Source organism: Homo sapiens, chromosome 14, assembly GCF_000001405.40.
Source record: "Homo sapiens chromosome 14, GRCh38.p14 Primary Assembly".
Classification (NCBI taxonomy): domain Eukaryota; kingdom Metazoa; phylum Chordata; class Mammalia; order Primates; family Hominidae; genus Homo; species Homo sapiens.
The window spans coordinates 77913700-77935484 of record NC_000014.9 but is presented as its reverse complement, the minus strand read 5'-3'; the positions used below and the strand labels follow the sequence as shown (position 1 = coordinate 77935484).

The following is a 21785-nucleotide window of genomic DNA, read 5'->3' as shown; positions in this document are numbered from 1 at the left end:
GGACATTTGAGACCCAAACTCAGGCATATAAGACAGCCCAAGGAGCAAATGTATTCCATCTCTACAGCACTGTATAATTTAAAAGAAAAAAACTAAAAACCACAGGCCACTACTCAGCAGCTGTGTGGCCACAAGCAAATTACTAAACCTCTCTGAGCGTTGGTTCCCACCTCAGTAAGATGAGGCTAATAACCCCTCCATCACAGAGGGGATGGGAAAACTCAATGATGTAACATATTTGCAGAGCCTAACACAGACTCTCACATATGGAAGGCACTCAGTAAACATCTACCTCCTCCCTTGCTATCTTCACACAGTCCCATACTCCCAACTCTTCTTGCCTCTCTGCTCACCCCAGCTAACTGTTCTGGGTGCTGGGCCCACTGGCACCATGCTGATGTTTTAGATCCCAGGACAGCACGAAGCCAACCATTACACATACCCAAACTAAAAAGCAAGTAACCATGACCTTGAACAGAAAGGACATTTATATTTACTTCAGTGGCTATAAAAGACACCATAAAATATACTATGCAGCACACATCCTCAAGATTAATAATCAGATATTGCAAATTATACTCTCAGGTCCCTGGGTGCATCCAACTGGTCACTAAGAACAATTAATTCTTTTGGGAAATAAAAGGATTGTGAATTGTCACTGATCACTGAAAAATCTGCTTGCTGTACTATGAATAAAGAGTACAGAAAATTAGGCTCAAATTCAGGATTTTTTCTGCCCTTGTGAATTGGGTGAAGTAAGATCAGAGAGGCTCAAATACAATTACTGTCCGTGAAAGCAGACAGTAGGACCTGCCAAAGACAAAGACATGGGAATTAGAGCAGGAGCTTAGGGATGTCCAAGAAACAGAAGCAGACAACCAGGCTGGGGGGAGAGGCAGTGCTGGCAGCAAGCAATGGGGTAGAAACACAGAAGTTTCCCAGTGAAAACCCAGCCACAGTGACGGAGGTTTCAGCAAGAGGACTAAGGTCTCCAGAAGGACTGGGGGGAGACAAGTAGAATTCCAGGCCTAAAACTGGGGCCACTGAATGAGAACCAAAGGGATAAGTCAGGAAACAGTAGAACAAGGTTGGTACCCAGGTCACAGAAAAACAAGGTCCAAGGTTTCAGCTGAGCCTCTGAGTTCCTGGCCTTGGGCTTCTTAACTCCTCCAACCAGAGTCTGAGTCTTGGAAGGTAAGAGAAACCCCCAAGAAGCAGGAAGTGGCCCCATAGTGGAAGTGGCCCCACAGGTTGGAAGGATTACAGGAGCAAGAAGCCAAGCAGAAGATCACACCAATACTCGATTCAGGTCCACTCTGACCTAATGGGCATTGTAGGTGAACTCCCAACCTATAAGGAAAATCCCACCAAACAGCCCCTGGCCTTCTGTTCCCTAGATCTCCCTGGGAAACCCTGAGGAAGCAGCAACCAAGAGGAACCATAAGCCCTTGGCGAGGACCATGAGCACATTCTGGAAGGGCACGTGCCTGGGGTCAGGTGGGAGGCCAGTGAGTTATGATGGACAAATCCTGCAACCTTGAAGGAGTTTTTATTGAAACACAGTACAGAAAACACCAAACGTCACTGACAGCAGTGAGCTCATAGCTGTAATGGAGTTGGCCCCAGATGCCAAACCACCTCGCTGAGGTGTGACTTCCTCTGGAGGGTGACATGGCAAGGAAAGGGAAGGTGTTCTCTGTCAAATTCAGAGACCATGTGCACCTCCAACAAAATCACACTCCCTACAAGTTCAGTGTGCCCCCAGTGGCACCCGTGGCACATCTTGACAATGGGAAGGGTTAACGGAAGTAGTGGGGACATCCAACCCAATGGCACATACCAGGAATGGGAATGTAGGCTGCTGAGTCTTCTTGGAGAAGAAGAGAGAGCTATGCCACAGTTCAGCTTGTGGGCCCTGAGACAAGGGCCACAGTGTGCGGAGAGGATTCCAAAGGAGGAGAAGGATGGTGACATGGACAGTGACTCTGGGGCTGCGGGCCACGATGTGGCAAAAATGGAGCAGCTGGGTGGAGGCAAGATGAGGGGCTGAGGAGTGGAAAGACACCAGAATGGGGCAGGGAGAGCAATTCCACTCAGAGTGGAGCAGGGAACAGCCAGCATATTAGGGCCAAGACCCGGTCAGCCAGCTTCAACCCCTTCACACGCAGGATGAGCTCATGGAGGTTGATCTGCCATAAGTTGAAGGCCTCGCTGAAAGAGATCTGGGTCCTTCTGAAGAATGAACAGGTATTCTTCTTCTTGTGCCTGGAAAAAGGGAAAGAAAAAAGGAGAAAAGAGATAAAGAGGCAAGAAACACTAGCTCTGTATCATTTAGAAAAACTAAAGATGGTGGCTTTGGCCAACTCACCAGCTCCCTGCCCCTAGGGACTACTCTTGGATACAGGATCATACTATACCACTACCCAATCGGGAGCCAGAGGAAATCAAATATTTCAAAGGAGTTTTTCAAATAAGTGGAATAAACAAAAGCAGTTGTTTCACAGGGCATCAATGGTCTAATAAACCCATTGGGTAGAACATTCCAATGTTTCTTTCTCCAAAAGCATAGTAAATCTATGCCAACCAAGAATCTCCCAAACTCAAAAATAGTCAAAGCCTTTCCAAACTTTCTAAGGATAAGAATCACTTGGAAACCTGGTCAGGTGGTCCTGGGAGGCTGAGGCCATTATGAATTCAGCCCAGCTCAATCCCTTCTGCACCAACAAAAGGACATGATGAAAACTGGTGTTTATGATGATGACCTATTCAAGACTTCATTTCCTGAACCCTCAGAGGAAGAATAAATCAAAGTTGGCCCTTTCAGTATGCAGTATATTATGCTGTAAACTAATTTAATATTTGATAGTGGGTACGTGATATACGTGGTCAAATCTCCTTTCACCAGATAGGTTCCCAGAATGGTCCATTCCCAGCACGGAAGGGCTGGAAATTGAGCATTACCTAGGCTTTCTCTCTTGAGTGAGAACAATCATCCAGAGCGGGGCCCTTCCGACGTATTTGTCACACTCAGTAATACAGCCTGAAACCCTCTTTCCTCTGGAACTAGCTCCCTGAGGAAGCACACTTCTCTTCCTCATTAATGCCCAAAGGTGCTGAGGCATCTAAAAAGATCTGAGGTTGGACATGGTGGCTCATGCCTGTAATCCCAGGACTTTGGGAGGCCAAGGAAGGTGGATCACTCGAGGTCAGGAGTTCAAGACCAGCCTGGCCAACACGGTGAAACCCCGTCTCTACTAAAAATATAAAAATTAGCTGGATATGGTGGTGGGTGCCTGTAATTCTAGCTACTCGGGAGACTGAGGCAGGAGAATCGCTTGAATTCGGGAGATGAAGGTTGCAGTGAGCCGAGATCACACCACTGTACTCCAGCCTGGGGGACAGAGTCAGACTGTGTCTCAAAAAAGAAAATAAATAAATTAAATAAATAAATAAATAAAAAGATCTGAGATCAAGAGAACCTGAGTCACAGTCTCATCTATAGGACAAAGAGCACTGGCCTGGCTGACAAGTCCCAGGACCAATTAGTGGAGAGATACACATCACGGCTTCCTGACTTCAAACTTGGGATACTTAGATGGGGCTGAGACTCTCAGAAAACATTTCAAACTTTAACTTTGCCTGCAGGGATATCTGGAGATTGGGAAGCTCAGGCAGGGCCCTGTAGACTGGTGGGGAAAGGTGGCAGCAAAAGCAGGACCCCTGGGGCAGGCCAGGGGGCTAGGAGGGGAGGAGAGGGAGGAGCCCACACTCACTCAGCTAGCGCTCTGATGCAGCAACGTGACATGTTGAGAAAGGAGCTGGCGCTGGCGCGGGTGCCCAGGGCGGCCTCAATGCCACGCAGCAGGTCGTTGGTCTTCAAGATGAGCAGCATCTGGCGCGGCACGTGGTTGAGGAGATGGCTGATCTGGGGGAGGTAGTTGGCCGCGTTGTTGCGAATCTCTAAGTCCTGAAGCAGCAATGGGGCAACAGAAACAGATGGTTGGTATGGGCAGTGGGGCCAGGGGTGGCAGGGGTCTGGCAGGCTGTGACCAGAGGGCTGCAAAGAAGCCCCAGGAGGGAGCTTCAGGCACCGCTGTCTTGGCACTGCTAGGAGCACTCCCCATAGAGAAGTCTAGCACAAGGCACTGTATAGCCTGACAAACCCGGAAGGGGATATCTCAGCCAAACTTCTAGGAAAGCGTTGGATGTGACACAGTATACATTGCGAGAGACCAGGTTATTCTCCATGGCTTTTTCACTGGCCGCAATTTTAGATCAGGTCTGGAAGGACCCCCAGAAGCCAGTACCAGCTGAGTCTGGTCTCCTACCCCTCCAAGCCTAGCTCAGGCTGACCTGACTTCAACCCAACTCCAAAGTCCTGCCCCATAGCCTGCACCCTGCCAGACCATGCTGCTGCTCACGCTCCATTGCTTACCACTGTCCTCGCATGAGAGCCAGTCTCATCCCACCTGTGGCCCAAGGTCTGATGCCCTGGCCTAGGATCCAGGATTAGCCCTTCATGCTGGTCATCGCCACAGCCCTTGACCTACCTGGTCTTTAAGTTTGGGGTCTGGCCTCCCCACGATCCCTGTCCCTACACTCTTCACAGCTCTAAGCAGATAAATGCCCCCAGCAAAATCCTAAATATAAGTGTGGTTCTGACCCCTTTTCAGTCTCCATAGATATGATGATGATGGTGACGATAAGCACCATATATTGAGCATTTACTAAAGAAGCCAGGCACTTTGACAATGTTGGCACGTATTAATTGATTTAATCCTCACAACAACCCTATCGGTGTATTATCCCCATTTAAGATGAGGAAACACAGGCATTGAGAAGTTAAGTGCTAGTAAGTGGTGAGATGGGACGTGAACCCAGGCAGTCCAGCTCCCGAGCCTGTGCCCTCACCATCTGGCAATACCACACCTCCTCACCTCACCACAGGACTCGACGACTCTGGGTAAGTCCTCTAATCTCTTTCAACTTAGTGTCCTCACCCAAAAATTGGGAATGCCAATACCCTCTGTGCCCGCCTCCCAGCAGCACTGGGAAGGTCACCAGAGATAAGGTCTGAGGAAGCAATCAGTGCCAAGTCATAATGAGGAGACCCGGGGTGCTGCTGAAAGTCTTTACCACCCCACTCCTCTCCGAAGCAGCAGGGCTCTCAGTCCTTTCAGAAGCACGTGTGCGCTGCTGAGAACAGAGTCACTGCAAAACTTGAAATGTCTTGAACTGCCTCTCAGGCAGGAACTATCAGACTGGAACATCTCAACACAAAGCCAGACCTTAAGAGGCACCTATGGCCACAGCTACAAGTCCCCTGCTCACCACAGGGACCCCCCTCTCAGCACGGTCGGACTGGCCTGGCAACAGCCTCTCAGCAACTTCAGTCACCCAGGCTACTACCGGGGGACAGCTCTCAGAGCAGCAGTCTCCAGCTAAGACACATCCTGATGGTGGGTGTCTGCAGTAGACCCTGTTGGGTATCTACCTAAGTCTTCACCCCAATCTCCTTTATTAAAAGAACCCAGGCTCACACCTGTAATCCTAGCACTTTGGGAGGCCAAGATGGGCAGATCACGAGGTCAGGAGTTCGAGACCAGCCTGGCCAACATAGCGAAACCCCATCTCTACTAAAAATACAAAAGTTAGCCAGGCATGGTGGCATACACCTGTAGTCCCAGCTACTCAGGAGGCTGAGGCAGGAGAACCACTTGAACCCAGGAGGCAGAGGTTTTGGTGAGCTGAGATCACACCACTGCACTCCAGCCTAGACAACAGAGCGAGACTCTGTCTCAAAAAAAAAAAAAATTTTGTTCACTTGATCCCTTGGGGTCATGCTCCATAGGGAGGTGCAGCCCCTCCCTGGCCCCAGCAGGGAATCTGGATTGAGTTCAGCCAGGGCTAGCTCTGAGCTCTCAGCCCCTTGCCACATGACTGGTTTAGGCATGGACACGTGACCTGCGTCAGCCAATGAGGCAAGAGGAAGCTGTTGGAGGGAGGCCGGCACTTCTAAAAAAGGTTTTCTTGCTCTTAAATGATATAAGGAGACATAGCGCCTTATTCCTGCCTCTAGCCACACTGAATGAAGATGTAAAGCTTGGAACCACACAGTCATCTTGAAATTGTGGTGGAAAGCCCAGAGAATCACAAGTTAGCCCAGGGACCTGAATTTGTTGATCCACTGAGCTAACCCACCCATCTCCAGGCTTCTTGTAGGAGAGAGAACAAATTCCTTATGTTTAAGCCACGGTTAGTTGGGGAAAACATTCTCCTTCATACAATGTTGGAGGTTCCCCTAATCCTCAATGAGAGCAGGGCTCAGAAAGACTGAGCCTGTGGATCCCTGAGACCAGGCTGACCTGGAGTAGCTAACTTTATGATCTATCTGGGTTGTCTAAAGTGAGCAAATGGAGGAAGTGTCTCCAGAACATTCACAAATGCCCCTCTACCAGACCCAGTCCCAGGATGGCAGGGACCTTATAAAAAGATATACAAGACGGGGTCTTTGCCTTCCAAGTACTCACCACATAGTTGGAGAGTTAAGGCGTGCAGACAAATAACTACAAGGGGCATGGTGTACTTGCCTTGTTAGTAATACAAGTATTAAGGGGTGACTTTTGGCAAAGGTGATAAGAACAGGCTTTCTGGAAGAGACAAGACTTTTTCAAAGGACTGGCATTTAAACTGAGTCTTTATCAATAAATAAGAATGCAAAAACAGGCTGGGCACGGTGGCTCATGACTGTAATCCCAGCACTTTGGGAGGCCGAGATGGGTGTATCACAAGGTCAGGAGATCGAGACCATCTTGGCCAACATGGCGAAACCCCATCTCTACTAAATATACAAAAATTAGCCAGGTGTGGTGGCACATGCCTGTAATCCCAGCTACTCAGAAGGCTGAGGCAGGAGAATGGCTTGAACCTGGGAGGCAGAGGTTGCAGTGAGCCAAGATTGTGCCACTGCACTCCAGCCTGGACAAGAGAGAGAGACTCTGTCTCAAAAAAAAAAAAAATGCAAAAACAAAATTCTATCTTAGTTAATAAAAACAAATATACTGAGAACCTAGTACATGCCACGTGACCTCATCCAGGCCTGAGGTTTTAAATATCACCTTACCCTGAAGACTCTTAAATTTGTATTTTAAGTCTAGACCTCTTCTGTGAACTCCAGTCTTAGCTGCCCATGACATCTCTACCTTCACAAGAGAACCGTTGACTACCCCACCCCAAATATGTCCTTCCCAGTCTTCCCTACGACAGGAAGTAGCACCATCCCCCACCATAAAACTCATCCCAAAAAGCTATGATGCAGCCTTGGCCCTGCCCTTTCCCTTCTCTCCACATCCAATCCTACAGAAACTCAATCTTACTTCCAAAACACACCTTGGCTCCACTGCCTCTCTCCATCTCTGTTGCCACCAGTGCAGCCTGAGCCCCTGTCATCTCTCAACCTGGAGTCCCGGCCTAGGCTCCTAAATGATCGCCACCACTCATCTCACCCCACTCGAGAGAGATACTTAAAAAGAGCAAGCCTGGGCATCTCCCTCTCCTGCTCAGAGCCTACGAAGGGCTTTGTTTTGTGCTGAGAATTAGTTGGAACATCTTCCCGTGGCTTTTAAGACCCTGCGTGATGATCTTCCTGCCCACGGCTCCTCCGTCTTCTCATCCCACCGTCCTCCTCACCACGCTCTGGGCCATACCAAACGCTTTCTTTCCCCTTGGCTTGAGTGTGCCTGGAATGTGTCCTTCAAGTTCTTCCTGGAACTGGTGCCTTTCTTGTCCTTTGGGCCTCAGCTGAAATGTCACCTCCTCAAGCCAGGTCTTCTCTGAGTGCTGCTCCGCCCCCTTACTCACAGCACCCTACTTGTTTCGTCCAGGGCACTGACAACCTGCAGTTATTCCATTCACCTGTTTGTTCACTTGTTTACTGTCTGTCTCCCTCAACCAAAGTGTAAATTACACAGAAGGCCTGTCTGCCTGTTCATCATGGGATCCTCAGCTCATACCCACAGCCCAACAAAAACAAATGTTTGTCAAAAGAACGAACTTCAGGAACTATGGGTAAGCACTTTACATGCACTGTCAATAAAGTGGAAATTATCCTTATCATCCCTATCCCTATTTTACAAAAGAGGAAAATTGTCTGTCTTCCTTTGAGATGACGGGCTTCAAGGCTGTAGAAGCCGAGAGTTGGTCGTCATCTTTGCCACCAAGCTTGCTGGAGAAGGATGTCAACTTGGAGGAAAGCGGAGCCGAGAGATGGGGACGGATGGTCTCTTTGATGACATCATTTGAGAATCTGGATCTAGCCATTCCCAAAGCTGCCTATCACAAAGCAGCTTACAGGGTAAGCAGCTTACCCTGAGGCTCAAAGAGGTGATGAGGACCACCCAAGGTCACACTGTAAGGAAGACGAGGCGCTGGAGCCCAGGGCTTTCTGACTGCACAGGCAGAACCCTGTCCCTGATGGTGAGCAGGGGCCTCAGCTGGAGCCCAAGGCCATCCCCCACGTGGATTCAGGCAAGTCTAAGTGGGTCTGGCAAATTAATAGGCTGTGAAGACAGCAGCCAATTCTGGAGGCTGGAAAAGCCCCCTGGAAGGGAGCCCACCCTGAGCCAGGAGGAATGAGCTCGCCCCCATAAGCTTCTGTCGTGCAAGCAGAGGTGGGTCTGAGTACTGGGTGGAGGTGCTCCCGATGTGTCTCCCAGCCCAGACTCCATGAGACTCTTGTCTAGGTGAAATAGAGAAATGAGCTACAAATAATGACCACAAAAAAGCTGCTTTAGCCTGGCCAACATGGCAAAACCCCACCTCTACTAAAAACACAAAAATTAGCCAGGCATGGTGATGTGCACCTGTAGTCCCAGCTACTCAGGAGGCTGAGACAGGAGAATCGCTTGAACCCCGGAGGCAGAGGTTGCAGTGAGCCGATATCATGCCACTACACTCCAGCCTGGGCGACAGAGCGAGACTCCGTCTCATTAAACAAACAAACAAACAAAAAAGTCTGCAGACAATGAGATGAGCACCCCTGCTTGAGTGCCACCTGAGAAGTGAAGGGCTCTCTCAGCTTGTTGCCTTAGAGGAGCCATGTGATGGGAGACAGTGCCAGGCAGGACACAGCAGAAGTACTGCCAGATTTATTTAAGAGATAGTCCCTAAGGATTCCCAGAGGTCTTGTGGGAGAACTTGGGGAAGGCCTGGAATCTAGTGTGAGCAGGTCAGAGCTAAAGCTACAGAAGTCTGAGTTATTATGGTTAATGTGCACCTGTTTCCTCCAGACTGATAAGACTTGGAGGGGAGCTCGGGAGGTATCACCCCCTTTCCCTCCTTCCATCCAGGGCATTATTTCTCCTTGTCTTTCTCTTCTTGTCCAATATAGCTCCAATTCTTCCCCTCCCCCAACACACAGCCCACCAGTCTAGACTCTTAGACCTTACTTGGAAGGGGTCCACAGGCCACCTCTAGCCCTGCCTTCTGCATTTAGGAAGAGGCAGGGCCTGGAGGGGCCCCCTACCTCAGTGGCAGTGACGGGAGCTTGGCTGATGCCTCTGTTGACCGAGTCCCACGATCGCGCCGTCAGCATGCAGGCAAACAAGGGGTAGAGATCCCCGGCTCCCAGTCGCTGGCTGTACTCCTTCACTCTCTTCATGTCAGTCCAGATCAGAGACTGCCAGAGGTGGCAGTAATTCAGGCGGAATTCTTCCGTGAGCATCTAGGGTGGAGGCGGCAGCGGTGGGACCTAAGCCTCGTCTCCCCACCAAAGGCCCAAGTCCCTGGCTGATGCCAACCATTGCAAAAGACGACGGTGAGGACTGTGCCTTCCCACGACATCTGTTTCTCCCCCAGAGCTCTGCCATCCCTGAAGCTTCAAGTTCAAAGCGACTCTTTGGCAAGCCTCGACCCTGAGTGGTAGTGACTATTAACTGCCCAACCAAGTCTACATTCTCCTCCTCTTCCCAGGTACAGCCTCCTTTCTCAGCCTCCCTCAAAGTTAGATGTGGTCCTCAGCATGAGCCCAACTGACGGAATGTGGCAGAAGCTCCACTTCCAGGCCTGGCCCACAGAAACTTTCCCCTGCAGGCTCCTCCAAGCCCTCACCCTGCCGCCAGCTGCCAGCACCATCACCTCTGGTGAGGCTTGGGAGGCAGAGCCTGGCAGTCTCCTCCACCCATCCAGGACTGGCATGTGAGCAAGCAATTAAGCTCCTGCTGTATCTGGGCCATCATTTTGGGGCCACATGTGAAAACAGCTAGCCTACCCTAAACTAATGCATTCTACTTCGTTAAGCCTTTCAGAAGAGGCCAAGATTCTGGGATGTGGGATCAGGTCACTGAGAGAAGGAGCAGAATCCCCTGGGGCCCAGATTGGCAGTGAACTTCCCATCTTCCAAGTAGGAGCTCCTGGCTCCTTTGAACCAGATCTGCATCCTGAGGACACAGTCTGAGGCCCTCCAGCCCCCACTGGCTGCCTGCCCCCTTTCCCACTAGGTAGTATATCCTCAGTAGGCCTAAACATGTAGTTACTCCTTCCCCGTAAAGTCCCAGCTCATGCAGAGGACAGCTCACTTCTGAGGATCCTTGCTGGCCTGGGGCTCCATGGGAAAGTATAATCTAACATACAAGCCTATTTCCATCTACTCTTCACAATAGCCTGTAAAGGGGGTACCGTCACCCTCACCTTCATGAGGAGGCAGCTGAAGCTCTGAGAGCTCTGTGACAGTGACTTGCACAAAATGACAGCTCCAAGGGAGAGGGAAGGGTCCTTTCCAGCTACCCTCGCTATCTCCCTCCCGGTTCTGCAGCTAATTAGAGTGGTCAGCAGACTCTAACCCCAGAGGCCCCAGGGCTGGGTAACAAAGGCCTCTTCTACCTGGTAAAGCCCATGGTCCAACAGGACAATCTCCGCCTTTCCCGTGCCGGGGTGCTTCCGCACCAGTACATTGCCGGGGTGGGGATCGCAGTGCACGAAGCCATTGACGAAGATCATCTCACTATACATCTTGCCCAGGTGGCGTGAGATCTGAAAGAGAAGAGGGGCAGGTGGGAGCTCCTCTCCACTCACATCTATCCGAGGGACCTCTGTCTGGTCTCTCAATGTGGTCACTTTTAAGGGGAGGCCAGAGAAAATCGGTGGGCCGGAGCGGTTGTGGTGGGAGTGATTGTTTGAGATGACATACTCTTTGAGTTTAAGATTTCTTAACTTTAGCTGCACCTTAGAATCATGAAACCATGTGGGCGGTACAAGGCACCAGTATTTTTTAAAGTTCGAGGTGACGTGAACATGGGATTAGGTAGGAGAACTGCACTCTCCACCTCCCACACCCGCCCCCCGACTTGTCCCCCATTTCTCTCCTCCATACCCTTTTATCAGTCCTTCTCCATTTCCCCCCAAAGCTGAGAATGGGCTGAACAGCTGGGCTGAGGGAGTCATTCCACTCACCCCTTCTCCAAAGAACAGGGTGAGGGGGCTGAGGATCAGGAGCAGGTGACCCCACCGCCTCCTCTGGGGCTGCCCCACCTGCTCCAGGCCTGTGCTAGGTGGACCCAGAGTCACAGGCCCGCCTCCCCTCTCCCTGCTCCCCTCCCCTCTCCCTGCTCCCCTCCCTGCCAGAGCCCAATGCTAATCTGATTTATGATGTCTGCACAGAAGAAATGACACTAGAGAAGCCGTTTAAATCATCCTGTCACTGCTGCTCTCCCTGACGAGGCAGTCTTCTTATCTCTAGTCCCTTTTTTATTAAAGCTAAAAGCCTCTTCCCCGCTAAGGAACAGCTGCTGAATAAAGCCAGACCTGGGCCCATAGAGGGTCTGTTGACAGGTTTCCAGGGAACAAAGAGATGCTCGACCCAGAAAGCTGACACGCCAGGACACAAGCTGCCCTAGGCAACCCTCTCGGCCTCGGCTAGACCCCATGGTCATTAACAAACCTAACCTGGTCAGAGGGGAGAGGAGCTGGGGCCCACGGGTGGGGAACACAGGATTGGGATCTTAAAAATTCTCCTCTTTCCCCCAGCCTACAAAGTCCTACCTGACCAGGCCCTGCCTCCTGCCTGGTCTCATCTCACACCACACTGACATTCCAGCCATATTCACTCTTTCTCTTCCCCAGCAATCCGTGTGCTTTCTGGCCTCAGGGCCTTTGCACATGCTATTCCTGCTGCCAGGAGCATTCTTGCCATCTCCCCTTCACCTGGCTTACCCTCTCTCTTCCTTCCCATCCCAGATCAGCATCACCTCTCTGAAGAAGCCCTCCCTGGCCTCCCAGGCAAAATGAGGTTCCCTTGCCATACGTTCTCAAAGGCCTTTTCTTTCAGGGCACTAGCTCACTATTTGTGTGATTATTTGATTAATGACCATCTATCCCACTATCATAAACTCCCAAGATAGGAGGGACTCGCTCTGCTTTATTAAACAGCTTTGTTGAGGTATAATTTATGGACCACAGACTGGCTCTATTATGTATCCACTTGCTTGTAACAGTGGCAAACACGTGACTACGACTCTGCGTTCAACGTGAGACCCTCATCTCTCTGTTTTCCTAAGATGCTGTGGTTCCTGCCTCGATGTTTATTCTAACCCCATTCATCTCCTCTGAATCCCAATCAATTATAATTTGCCCCAAATTAAATCATCAAGAATGACCCTAATTTAGTAACAACCAGCTGACATCCTTATTAGCCTCCCAAAGGTAGGGACAATTATGATCCTCATTTGCAGATGTGAAACTGATTCATCAAGGTTTAACTAACTCATGGCTAGAAAAGGGTCGAGCCAAGATTCACACCAGCTGACCCCGCAGCCTTCTAGTAACTGCTATTCTACGCTGGCTTGCACCCACTTCTGCACTTTTCAATTGAGCGCTGTGACCTTAAACAAGTTCCTTATGCCATCAGCTTCAGTAAAATGGAAATAATAATAGTCCCACTCTCAGGGGTCACTGGGAAGGTAAACGAGAATGCCACGGTGCTGTGCCCTGGTGACTCTCATAAGCGCCCCCGATTCCTCATAACACCCCTGGAAGGTGAGCAGACTAGCTTTCATTGTATGTTTATAAGAGGTGAAGAGATGTAAGACACTATGCCCGCTACCACGCCAGCCCTCCAGCTCCTGCCATTTTCCTGGGGTGAAACAGACATCCCTGCACTCAGTGTCTGTTGGCCTTAGGAGCAGGACTTTGCCCCAGGTCAAGTTCTCAGACTCAGGCTGAGATGCCAGATGCCCCAGGGCCACCACTGTCTGCTTCCCTGGAGAGGGGGCCCCCAGCCAGGGCTGGTCCTGGGTGGGCCAGCAAGTCAGTCCCCATCTCGATGCCACCAATAACCTCTTCTGTGAGGCTCTTTGGAGCTTCATGGAGCCATGCTTTGAAAGGCTGTATCTGCCAAACCAATTGCATTTATTAAGTAATCATTCATTTTTATTTGTCAAGGACACATATAAGGTCCAATCAGGGCTCCTGATCAGCCCAAGATAAGCAGTGCAGCCAGACTGAGCTGACAGAATTCCAGCCAAAAAATGAGAGAAATGACATTTCATTTAGTCTGGGCAGGCCTGTCATGGGGAGATGTATGATCTCCCTTAAGCTTTCTGAAATATTGCTAATCGCTCTGGGCCCCCTATTACTACATTGAAAGATGGCCCCTAAGGGTCTGGGGGCTCAGGATTGGGAGCCCTTGCCTCTGAGGAGTGAGCTGCTGCTGGTGGGGTTGGGAAGGGTGGGGGCTGCCAATTGCTGCTCATATCCACATGAGAAGAGCCACCAGAGTGGCCCGCTCCATCTCAACACCCCCAATCCACCTGCCTCCAACTCTATCTTTCCATTTGGGACTGTTCCTAATGTTTGTTTTAACCAGATTTCACCAGCATAGACAGAGACAGGAGGGGGAGTCCCTGCCAATGGCATGGTTCTGTCACTCTGGGCATGGGAGATCTGGGGATAAGGCACCTCTCTTCTCAGTCTGGGTCCAAGTTCCCTTAGCGGCTACGTGGGACTAACCCCACCTGCTCTACTTGCTCACAGAGCAACCTTGAGATTCAATGTCAAAATAGGATCACATATGAGAAAGCACTTTACACACTATAAGACGCACACCACAGTTTGTTTTTCATGCAGTAGCTTAACTTTTTTTTCTTTTTTTTTTTTTTTTTTTTTTGAGACAGAGTCTCACTCTGTCGCCCAGGCTGGAATGCAGTGGCCCGATCTCGGCTCACTGCAAGCTCCGCCTCCCAGGTTCATGCCATTCTCCTGCCTCAGCCTCCCGAGTAGCTGGGACTACAGGTGCCTGCCACCACGCCTGGCTAATTTTTTGTATTTTTAGTAGAGACAGGGTTTCACCGTGTTAGCCAGGATGGTCTCGATCTCCCTGACCTCTTGATCTGCCCTCCTCGGCCTCCCAAAGTGCTGGGATTACAGGCGTGAGCCACCGCGCCTGGCCTATCATTTTTAACTTAGAAAAAATACATACCCACTATCACCCTCAAAGCCTAATTTTCAAAGTTTAAAGCACGGCTCATATAAATATAGAATGTGTGCCAGGCACAGTGGCCCACACCTATAATCCCAGCACTTTGGGAGGCTCAGGAGGGATAATTGCTTGAGGACAGGCGTTTCAGACCAGCCTGGGCAACATACCAAGACCCCATCTCTACAGAAAATTAAAAATTCAGCCAGGTGTGGTGGAGCATGCATATGGTTCTATCTACTTTGGGTGGCTAAGGCAGAAGGATCACTTGAGCCCAGGAGTTTCAGGCTGCAGTGAGCTATGATGGCACCACTGTACTCCAGCCTGGGTGATACAGCGAGACCTTCTCTCTAAATACATAAATTAAAAGTAAAACTAAATAAATACAGAATGAACATGTGTCAAAGTTTTTTTAACTCGTTAATAAGGGGGCAAGTCCACATAGCCAAAGTAAGACTAAGCAAAAAGAATAAATCTGGAGGCATCACATTACCCAACTTCTAACTATACTACAGAGCTATAGTTACCAAAACAGCATGGTACTGGTATAAAAATAAGCACGTAGACCGATGGAACAGAATAGAGAACCAAGAAATAAAGCCAAATTCTTACAGCCAACTGATCTTCAACAAAGCAAACAAAAACAAAGTGGAAAACGACACCCTCTTCAACAAATGGTGCTGGGATAATTGGCTAGCCACATGTAGAAGAATGAAACTGGATCCTCACCTCTCACTTTATAAAAAATCAACTGAAAATGGATCAAAGACTTAAATCTAAGACCTGAAACCATAAAAAATCTAGAAGATAACATCAGAAAAACTCTTCTAGACATTGGCTTAAGCAAAGATTTCATTACCAAGAACCCAAAAGCAAATGCAACAAAAACAAAGATAAGTAGACAGGACTTAATTAAACTAAAAAGCTTCTGCACAGCAAAAGAAATAATCAGCAGGGTAAACAGACAATCCACAGAGTGGAAGGAATCCATAGAGTAGGAGAAAATATTCACAGCTATGCATCGAACAAAAGACTAATATCCAGAATCTACAAGGAACTCAAACAAATCAGCAAGAAAAGAACAAACAATCCCATCAAAAAGTGGGCTAAGGACATGAATAGACAATTCTCAAAAGAAGATATACAAATGGCCAACAAACATATGAAAAAATGCTCAACGTCACTAATGATCAGGGAAATGCAAATCAAAACCACAATGCAATACCACCTTACTCCTGAAAGAATGGCCATAATCAAAAAATCAAAAATAATAGATATTGGCATGGATGTGGTGAAAAGGGAACACTTTTACACTGCTGGTGGGAATGTAAACTAGTACAACAACTATGGGAAACAGTGTGGAGATTCCTTAAAGAACTAAAGGTAGAACTACCATTTGATCCAGCAATCCACTACTGGGTGTCTATCCAGAGGAAAAGAAGTCATTATATGAAAAAGACACACATGCATGTTTATAGCAACACAATTCACAATTGCAAAAATATGGAACCAGCCTAAATGCCCATCAACCAACAGGTAGATAAAGAAAATGTGGTATACATAGACCATGGAGTACCACTCAGCCATAAAAAGGAATGAAATAATGACATTTGCAGCAACGTAGATGGAATTGGAGACCATTATTCTAAGTGAAGTAACTCAGGACTGGAAAAACAAGTATCGTATGTTTCCACTTATAAGTGGTAGCTAATCTATGAGGACACAAAGGCAAAGGCATAAGAATGATACAATGAACTATGGGGACTTGGGGAGAAGGGTGAGGGATAAAAGACTACACATTGGGGCCTGGCGTGGTGGCTCACGCCTGTAATCCCAGCACTTTGGGAGGCAGAGGAGAATTGCTTGAACCGAGGAGATGGAGGTTGCAGTGAGCCAAGATCACACCATTGCACTCCAGCCTGGGCAACAAGAGTGAAACTCCATCTCAAAAATAAATAAATAAATAAGGGGGCAAGTAAGATGGTAGAGCTGGTTCAAAGAGAATTTTGAGGAAGCAGGTGTTTATGGGCGTTTAAACAGGAATAAGAGACTAAGGTTTCTGGATTAGCTGAAAAACAGGTTACTGTTCTATGAGGCATAAAAAGAAGTCACAACCTTTGAGGTTATCTTTTATACTAGACAGAAATTATTTGCATCTCTACTGGATAAGATCTTCAAGTTGATGTATGACCACTCTGTGCCTTTAATTAATTGTCAATAGCAAAGTCAAACAAAAGTACATTTCCCTAGATATTAAAATAAATCCTCTAGGGAGCTGGTTGAACAATGCCCAAGAATGTCACACCACACTCTCCTGGCCTTATTTCTAAGTGTTGGATAACAGCTCTTAGAATTGTGTTAGTCTTTCTAGGAACTGAATTTCCCAGAAGAGGGAAGCCAGCCCCCTCCTACTCAGAGGCATTGAGGAGCAACCTAAGGCCATTACTGGGCACACGACCCTCTCTCCCTTCTATAATACATTATGTGTCTTGCTTAAGAACAGATCATTGTGTCCCTAACACTGCCCCATGCCCTGTGAACGGTGGCATCTGCATAATGACAGGATGCACCATCTTTTTAGAATGGGGCATGATAGACACATCTGACAGTAATAACTTAAGCAGACGATTAAGGCAGACACACCTGACTTAACTTCAGAAATATGGGTTGCTAGGTGAAGGTTGCTGAGGACAGGGTACTAAGTGAAAATACGATATGAACTGCATGCTTTTTACAAGTGGTGGTGGTTTTCCTGTCCAGCCTGCTGCCACTGAACTGTCTTGTAAGTTCCCCCATATAAACCATTTGTTTAAATCTATGTTTCACTCACCGTCTCTTCTTTGGCCTCTTGAACCTGGTGCCATCCCTACTGAAGTTGACAGGGGTCCAGCATGACAAATAATGATGGCTAACACACTATACCAGGCACCATGCCAGGCACTTTACACTAACAGATTCAGCACTCACTGCCATCCTCTGCATTAAACAGGTGAAGGAATCAGGACACAAAATAGAAAGTTCGGTCACTTGGTCGGCAGTTAGTCTAAACCTAGGAGCACTGGCTCCAGAGAACAGGCCTCAATCGCTCCGTTATACTGCCTCTCCACTCACAGGGAAGCTCCTCCTGGAGACAGAGACTGCACCAAAGACATCTGAACACCACCCCACTCCAACCCCAGAAGCCGGCAAAATGTTCCATTTTGAAAAAAAGAGTCTCAGTGGGAAATCCAGGACTGTCAGCTAACCAAAACCACACTGTTAACTAAAGCTACAGTACAGTGCCATTTAGGAAAAAAAAGTCAATGAGAAATCTTTTAATTGTTCCACATAAAAAAAATGTGCCTTTCACGATAAGTGATTTCAGTTATTATGCAATGCCTTTATTCTCTAACAGTAGGGAGGGGAAAAAAACCAGGAATCTATAAAAAGACTGAGTAGAGAATTAATTTAGTAAATAATATTTAAATCAATGAGTTATTTTTGGACTTTTCTCAAAACTTGAATTGGCTAAAAGTACTTTAATTATTCTATAATTACATGGATTAATTTATTCCCACCCTCAAGAGAAAATCTATTCATGTTCCTGGGGGGTGTCTTAAAAGAAAGGCCAAGATCTCTGAAGGAAACGGGGTTGGTGTTACAGGATATTGATAATCACATGAGTAGCCTGATATTAACTATAAGGAGGTTAATCATTCAAACTCTCTCTGCCTTTCCTCCAGTTTCTGCCCAGGCTTTTTGAGGCATAACAGCTTGAAAGACTAGACCAGACCTAGAGCTTTTTGAAAAAAAAAATACGGGGTCTCACTCTGTAGCCCAGGCTCAAGTGCAGTGGCACCATCATGGCTCACTGCAGCCTCGAACACCTGGGTTCAAATGATCCTCCCACCTCATCCTCCAGAAAAACTGGGATTACATGCATGTGCCACCATGCCCAGCTAATTTATTTTTTTGTAGAGACAGGGTCTCACTATGTTGCCCAGGATGGGATGGTCTCAAACTCCTGGCCTCAAGTGATCCTCCCACTTCAGCCCTGTCCAAAGCACTGGGATTACAGGTATGAGCCACTAGTGCTGGCCCTAGAGCATTTTACCATAATCTCCACCCCTGTCCCCAGGAACCACCTTTGGGATTTGTAAGCCTCGATTAAAAACAGCTGCCCAGCATGGAGTCCAAACTTGTCCATGGGTGGAGCAATCTTGGACTAACAAATGCTGAGGTGGAGTCTGTAAGCGCAAAGGTGCTGGGAACCTCTTCGACCACACATGGTGTCGGGAGAGATAGTGAGGAAGAAAGAAGAGGGGCTTTGTGAGGCCGAGGCAGTCAGATGGCTTGAGCCCAGGAGTTTGAGACCAGCCTGGGCAACATGGTGAAACCTCTATAAGAAATACAAAAATTATCTAGGCACGGTGGCGTGCCCCTGTAGTCCCAGCTACTCCAGAGGCTGGGGTGGGAAGATCACCTGAGCCTGGGGAGATCCAGGCTGTGGTGAGCTGAGATCGTGCCACTGCACCACAGCCTGGGTGAGAGTGAAAACCTATATTAAAATAAATAAATAAATAGAAAGAAGAGATGCTGAGTAAAATCACAGGAAACTGGGAAGTTACTCTAATTTTGGAGCTTCTAGGTACCTAGTGAAAGCTTCTCTAGGTTAGGATTGAAAAGGAACATCACAGAGAGGCATGGCATGGGGTATTTAATGAGTCTCTCTGGCCAGAGAGCCTCCTCAAGTCTCTGGCCAGAGACATTCATTAAAGTTACCCAGATACCAGAGCAGGTGGGAGGGGTCCTAGGGACCTTGGCTATGGGAAGACACAGAGAAAGGGAGGAAAAGCAGAGACATCTGGCATCTCTGGCCTTGGACAACAACTCAGTCCAAAGAAATACTTTCCTATCTTTCCACCTTACCTGGGTCAATATGAAAAATGGGGAAAGGGTTTCTTCCCTACATGTTTCCCCCCATCTTTTGGCACATAATGTACTACGAGCACCACATGACACCACAAAATTCCAAGGGGTGGAATTCAGCATAATTCAACATGTGATGAGGACATATGCTGGGCCTGGCACCGTACCAAGCGTTCTGTTTCAGTCATCAAACGATCCAGTGGGTTACTCTCTTGTATCCCACTTTACAAAAGGTAACTGGGGCTTCAAAAGGGTGAGTAGCTTCACCAAGGTGGCACAGCTTATAAGCAGCAGAGCCAACACCTGAATCCAGGAAGGCCAACTCCACAACAACACAGTTACTCACTCCTGACACCTTTGCTGTGGAGGAAATAAATTTCCAGGAACTCATCTCATACACCTGGACCCCTCTAACATCCCTGAGCTCTTTTAAAGATTTGGTCCTTTTGTCCTTGTGATAGTTTGCTGAGAATGTTGGTTTCCAGTTTCATCCATGTCCCTACAAAGGACGTGAACTCATCATTTTTTATGGCTGCATAGTATTCCATGGTGTATATGTGCCACATTTTCTTAATCCAGTCTATCATTGTTGGACATTTGGCTTGGTTCCAAGTCTTTGCTATTGTGAATAGTGCCACAATAAACATACGTGTGCATGTGTCTTTATAGCAGCATAATTTATCACTCATAGTTGGGAATTGAACAATGAGAACACATGAACACAGGAAGGGGAACATCACACTCTGGGGCCTGTTGTAGGCTGGGGGTAGGGGGGAGGGGGGAGGGATAGCATTAGGAGATATACCTAATGTTAAATAACGAGTCAATGGGTGCAGCACACCAACATGGCACATGTATACATATGTAACTAACCTGCACGTTGTGCACATGTACCCTAAAACTTAAAGTATTAAAAAAAAAAAAAAGATTTGGTCCAAGAAGCAATGAAGGGATGGACAATGGAAGAAGATGTTTTCTTCTGGTGATTTTGGTAGAAGGTCTTCATGCCTCCGCAGCTGCTCTATGTTGGTCTGGGCATCTTCTACCAGACAGCCAGACAGGCCCAGCAGGGGAAAAATGACACTGAGCCAAAATGCAAATGTCCTATTCAACTGGAGGTGGTGACAAGGGGAAAGGTAGAAACTTCAGCATGGCTTTTACAGTGGGGGTAAGGGGGTACCATATGCTTAATAGATGACTATTACCCAACTCCAAGTCTTTATACTCAGAAAATAGAGGTAAGTGGGCAGGAAGGGGAGCAAAGAGGATTCTCGAAGATTCTATGGAGGAAGACATGCCTCTGTGAACCATGAACGCATGAATTATAAGTAACAGTAACATTGTTTTTACAAAACTTCACAGTTTGCAAAATTCACACAATGACCCTATGCAGTAAGTGATGTTATCTCTCCAACTGCATAGATGAGAAAACTCACACTCAGAGGATGTTGCTTACCCAAGGGCACCAGCCAATACACAATCTCAGGGGCCCTAACTTTGAAACCCTCTGCTCTTCCCACCCAGGACCCAACCTCTATAAAGCCTCACCCAGCCCCACCCTCTCCCACACTCTGCTCACACCTCTATTGTAGCAAGTGCACTCAGTGCTTGCACATGGTAGCTGCTCGAGAAATCATTTGCTGAAAGCAAATGTGAGACCTTTTCGCTGCTCCTGCAATGACACAGAATGGAATTAAGAACTACTAGAAGAAGCATAGCAAGGGCTTCTGGCTAAGCATGGCAGGTGGAACCCAGGCCACGGACTCTACTCCTTCACGAACCCCACTAAAGTGACTCTAAAAGTAGTAAAGAAGGCAAAGACCCCACCACAACAAGAAAAGAATAGAGAGGCAACAACAGAAGGCAAAGTGAGATAAGCAAAATTGTGTTTGCTGCAGGGAGCTACTGAGAAGTGACTCAGCAGGCTAGAAAACATGGACCCCTAAGCTGGCAACAGGAGAGCTTTATAATTATTACTGCTGAGCCTCAAGCAGGCTCAGAAACTGAGGGACTCCAGCACCTCTGAAAATGAGATTTGGGGGTTCTGAAAAAGAAAGATTAACTGAAAGACTTTAAAAGTACCAGCTAAACCCCTAGATCCCCACCCGACCCTGACAGAAGATGGAGACTGATGCTCTGGGAACAGACAGGCTCTGCAGGCTGCACCACACACCAGCAGCACCACCCCAAGGACAGGGGACTGAACCTAAGTCCACATAATGACCACTGAGGAGCTCTGGCACTCTCGCCTCCTGGATCCCACGTCTCTGGGACAGCCAGGCTGGTGTCCCTTCTAAAACCCCATCCCAGGACTACCCCCAATCTTCACGGACAGCAGTGTCTGCCCACCAGACCTCCAGTCATCTGTCCCTGCTGCCCCTACACTCCTGTCTCTGTCACCTCTTTCTTG

The 21785-nt window shown here is 48.1% G+C and overlaps 1 protein-coding gene across 15 annotated transcripts in view; it reads right to left on the bottom strand.

Moving 5' to 3' along the window:
* Nucleotides 1–470: 470 nt before the first annotated feature.
* The window catches only part of ADCK1 (aarF domain containing kinase 1), a 134906-nt gene continuing 113591 nt past the window's right edge, over nt 471–21785 (bottom strand). For 11 of the 15 annotated variants that reach the window (NR_158989.2, NR_158988.2, NM_001366490.2 and 8 more), the window contains 4 exons: nt 10879–11028; nt 9524–9721; nt 3774–3967; nt 471–2265 (listed from right to left, as the gene is read on the bottom strand). Coding sequence is in view for 12 of the 15 variants with exons in the window: in NM_001366490.2 (NP_001353419.1) it covers nt 2094–2265; nt 3774–3967; nt 9524–9721; nt 10879–11028 (714 nt within the window). In the remaining 3 variants the exon portion in view is untranslated. Of the gene's footprint in view, nt 2266–3773; nt 3968–9523; nt 9722–10878; nt 11029–20956; nt 21048–21785 lie in introns of all 15 variants that reach the window. The other 4 variants (NR_158987.2, NM_001366486.2, NM_001366488.2 and 1 more) reach the window with 2 other exon arrangements.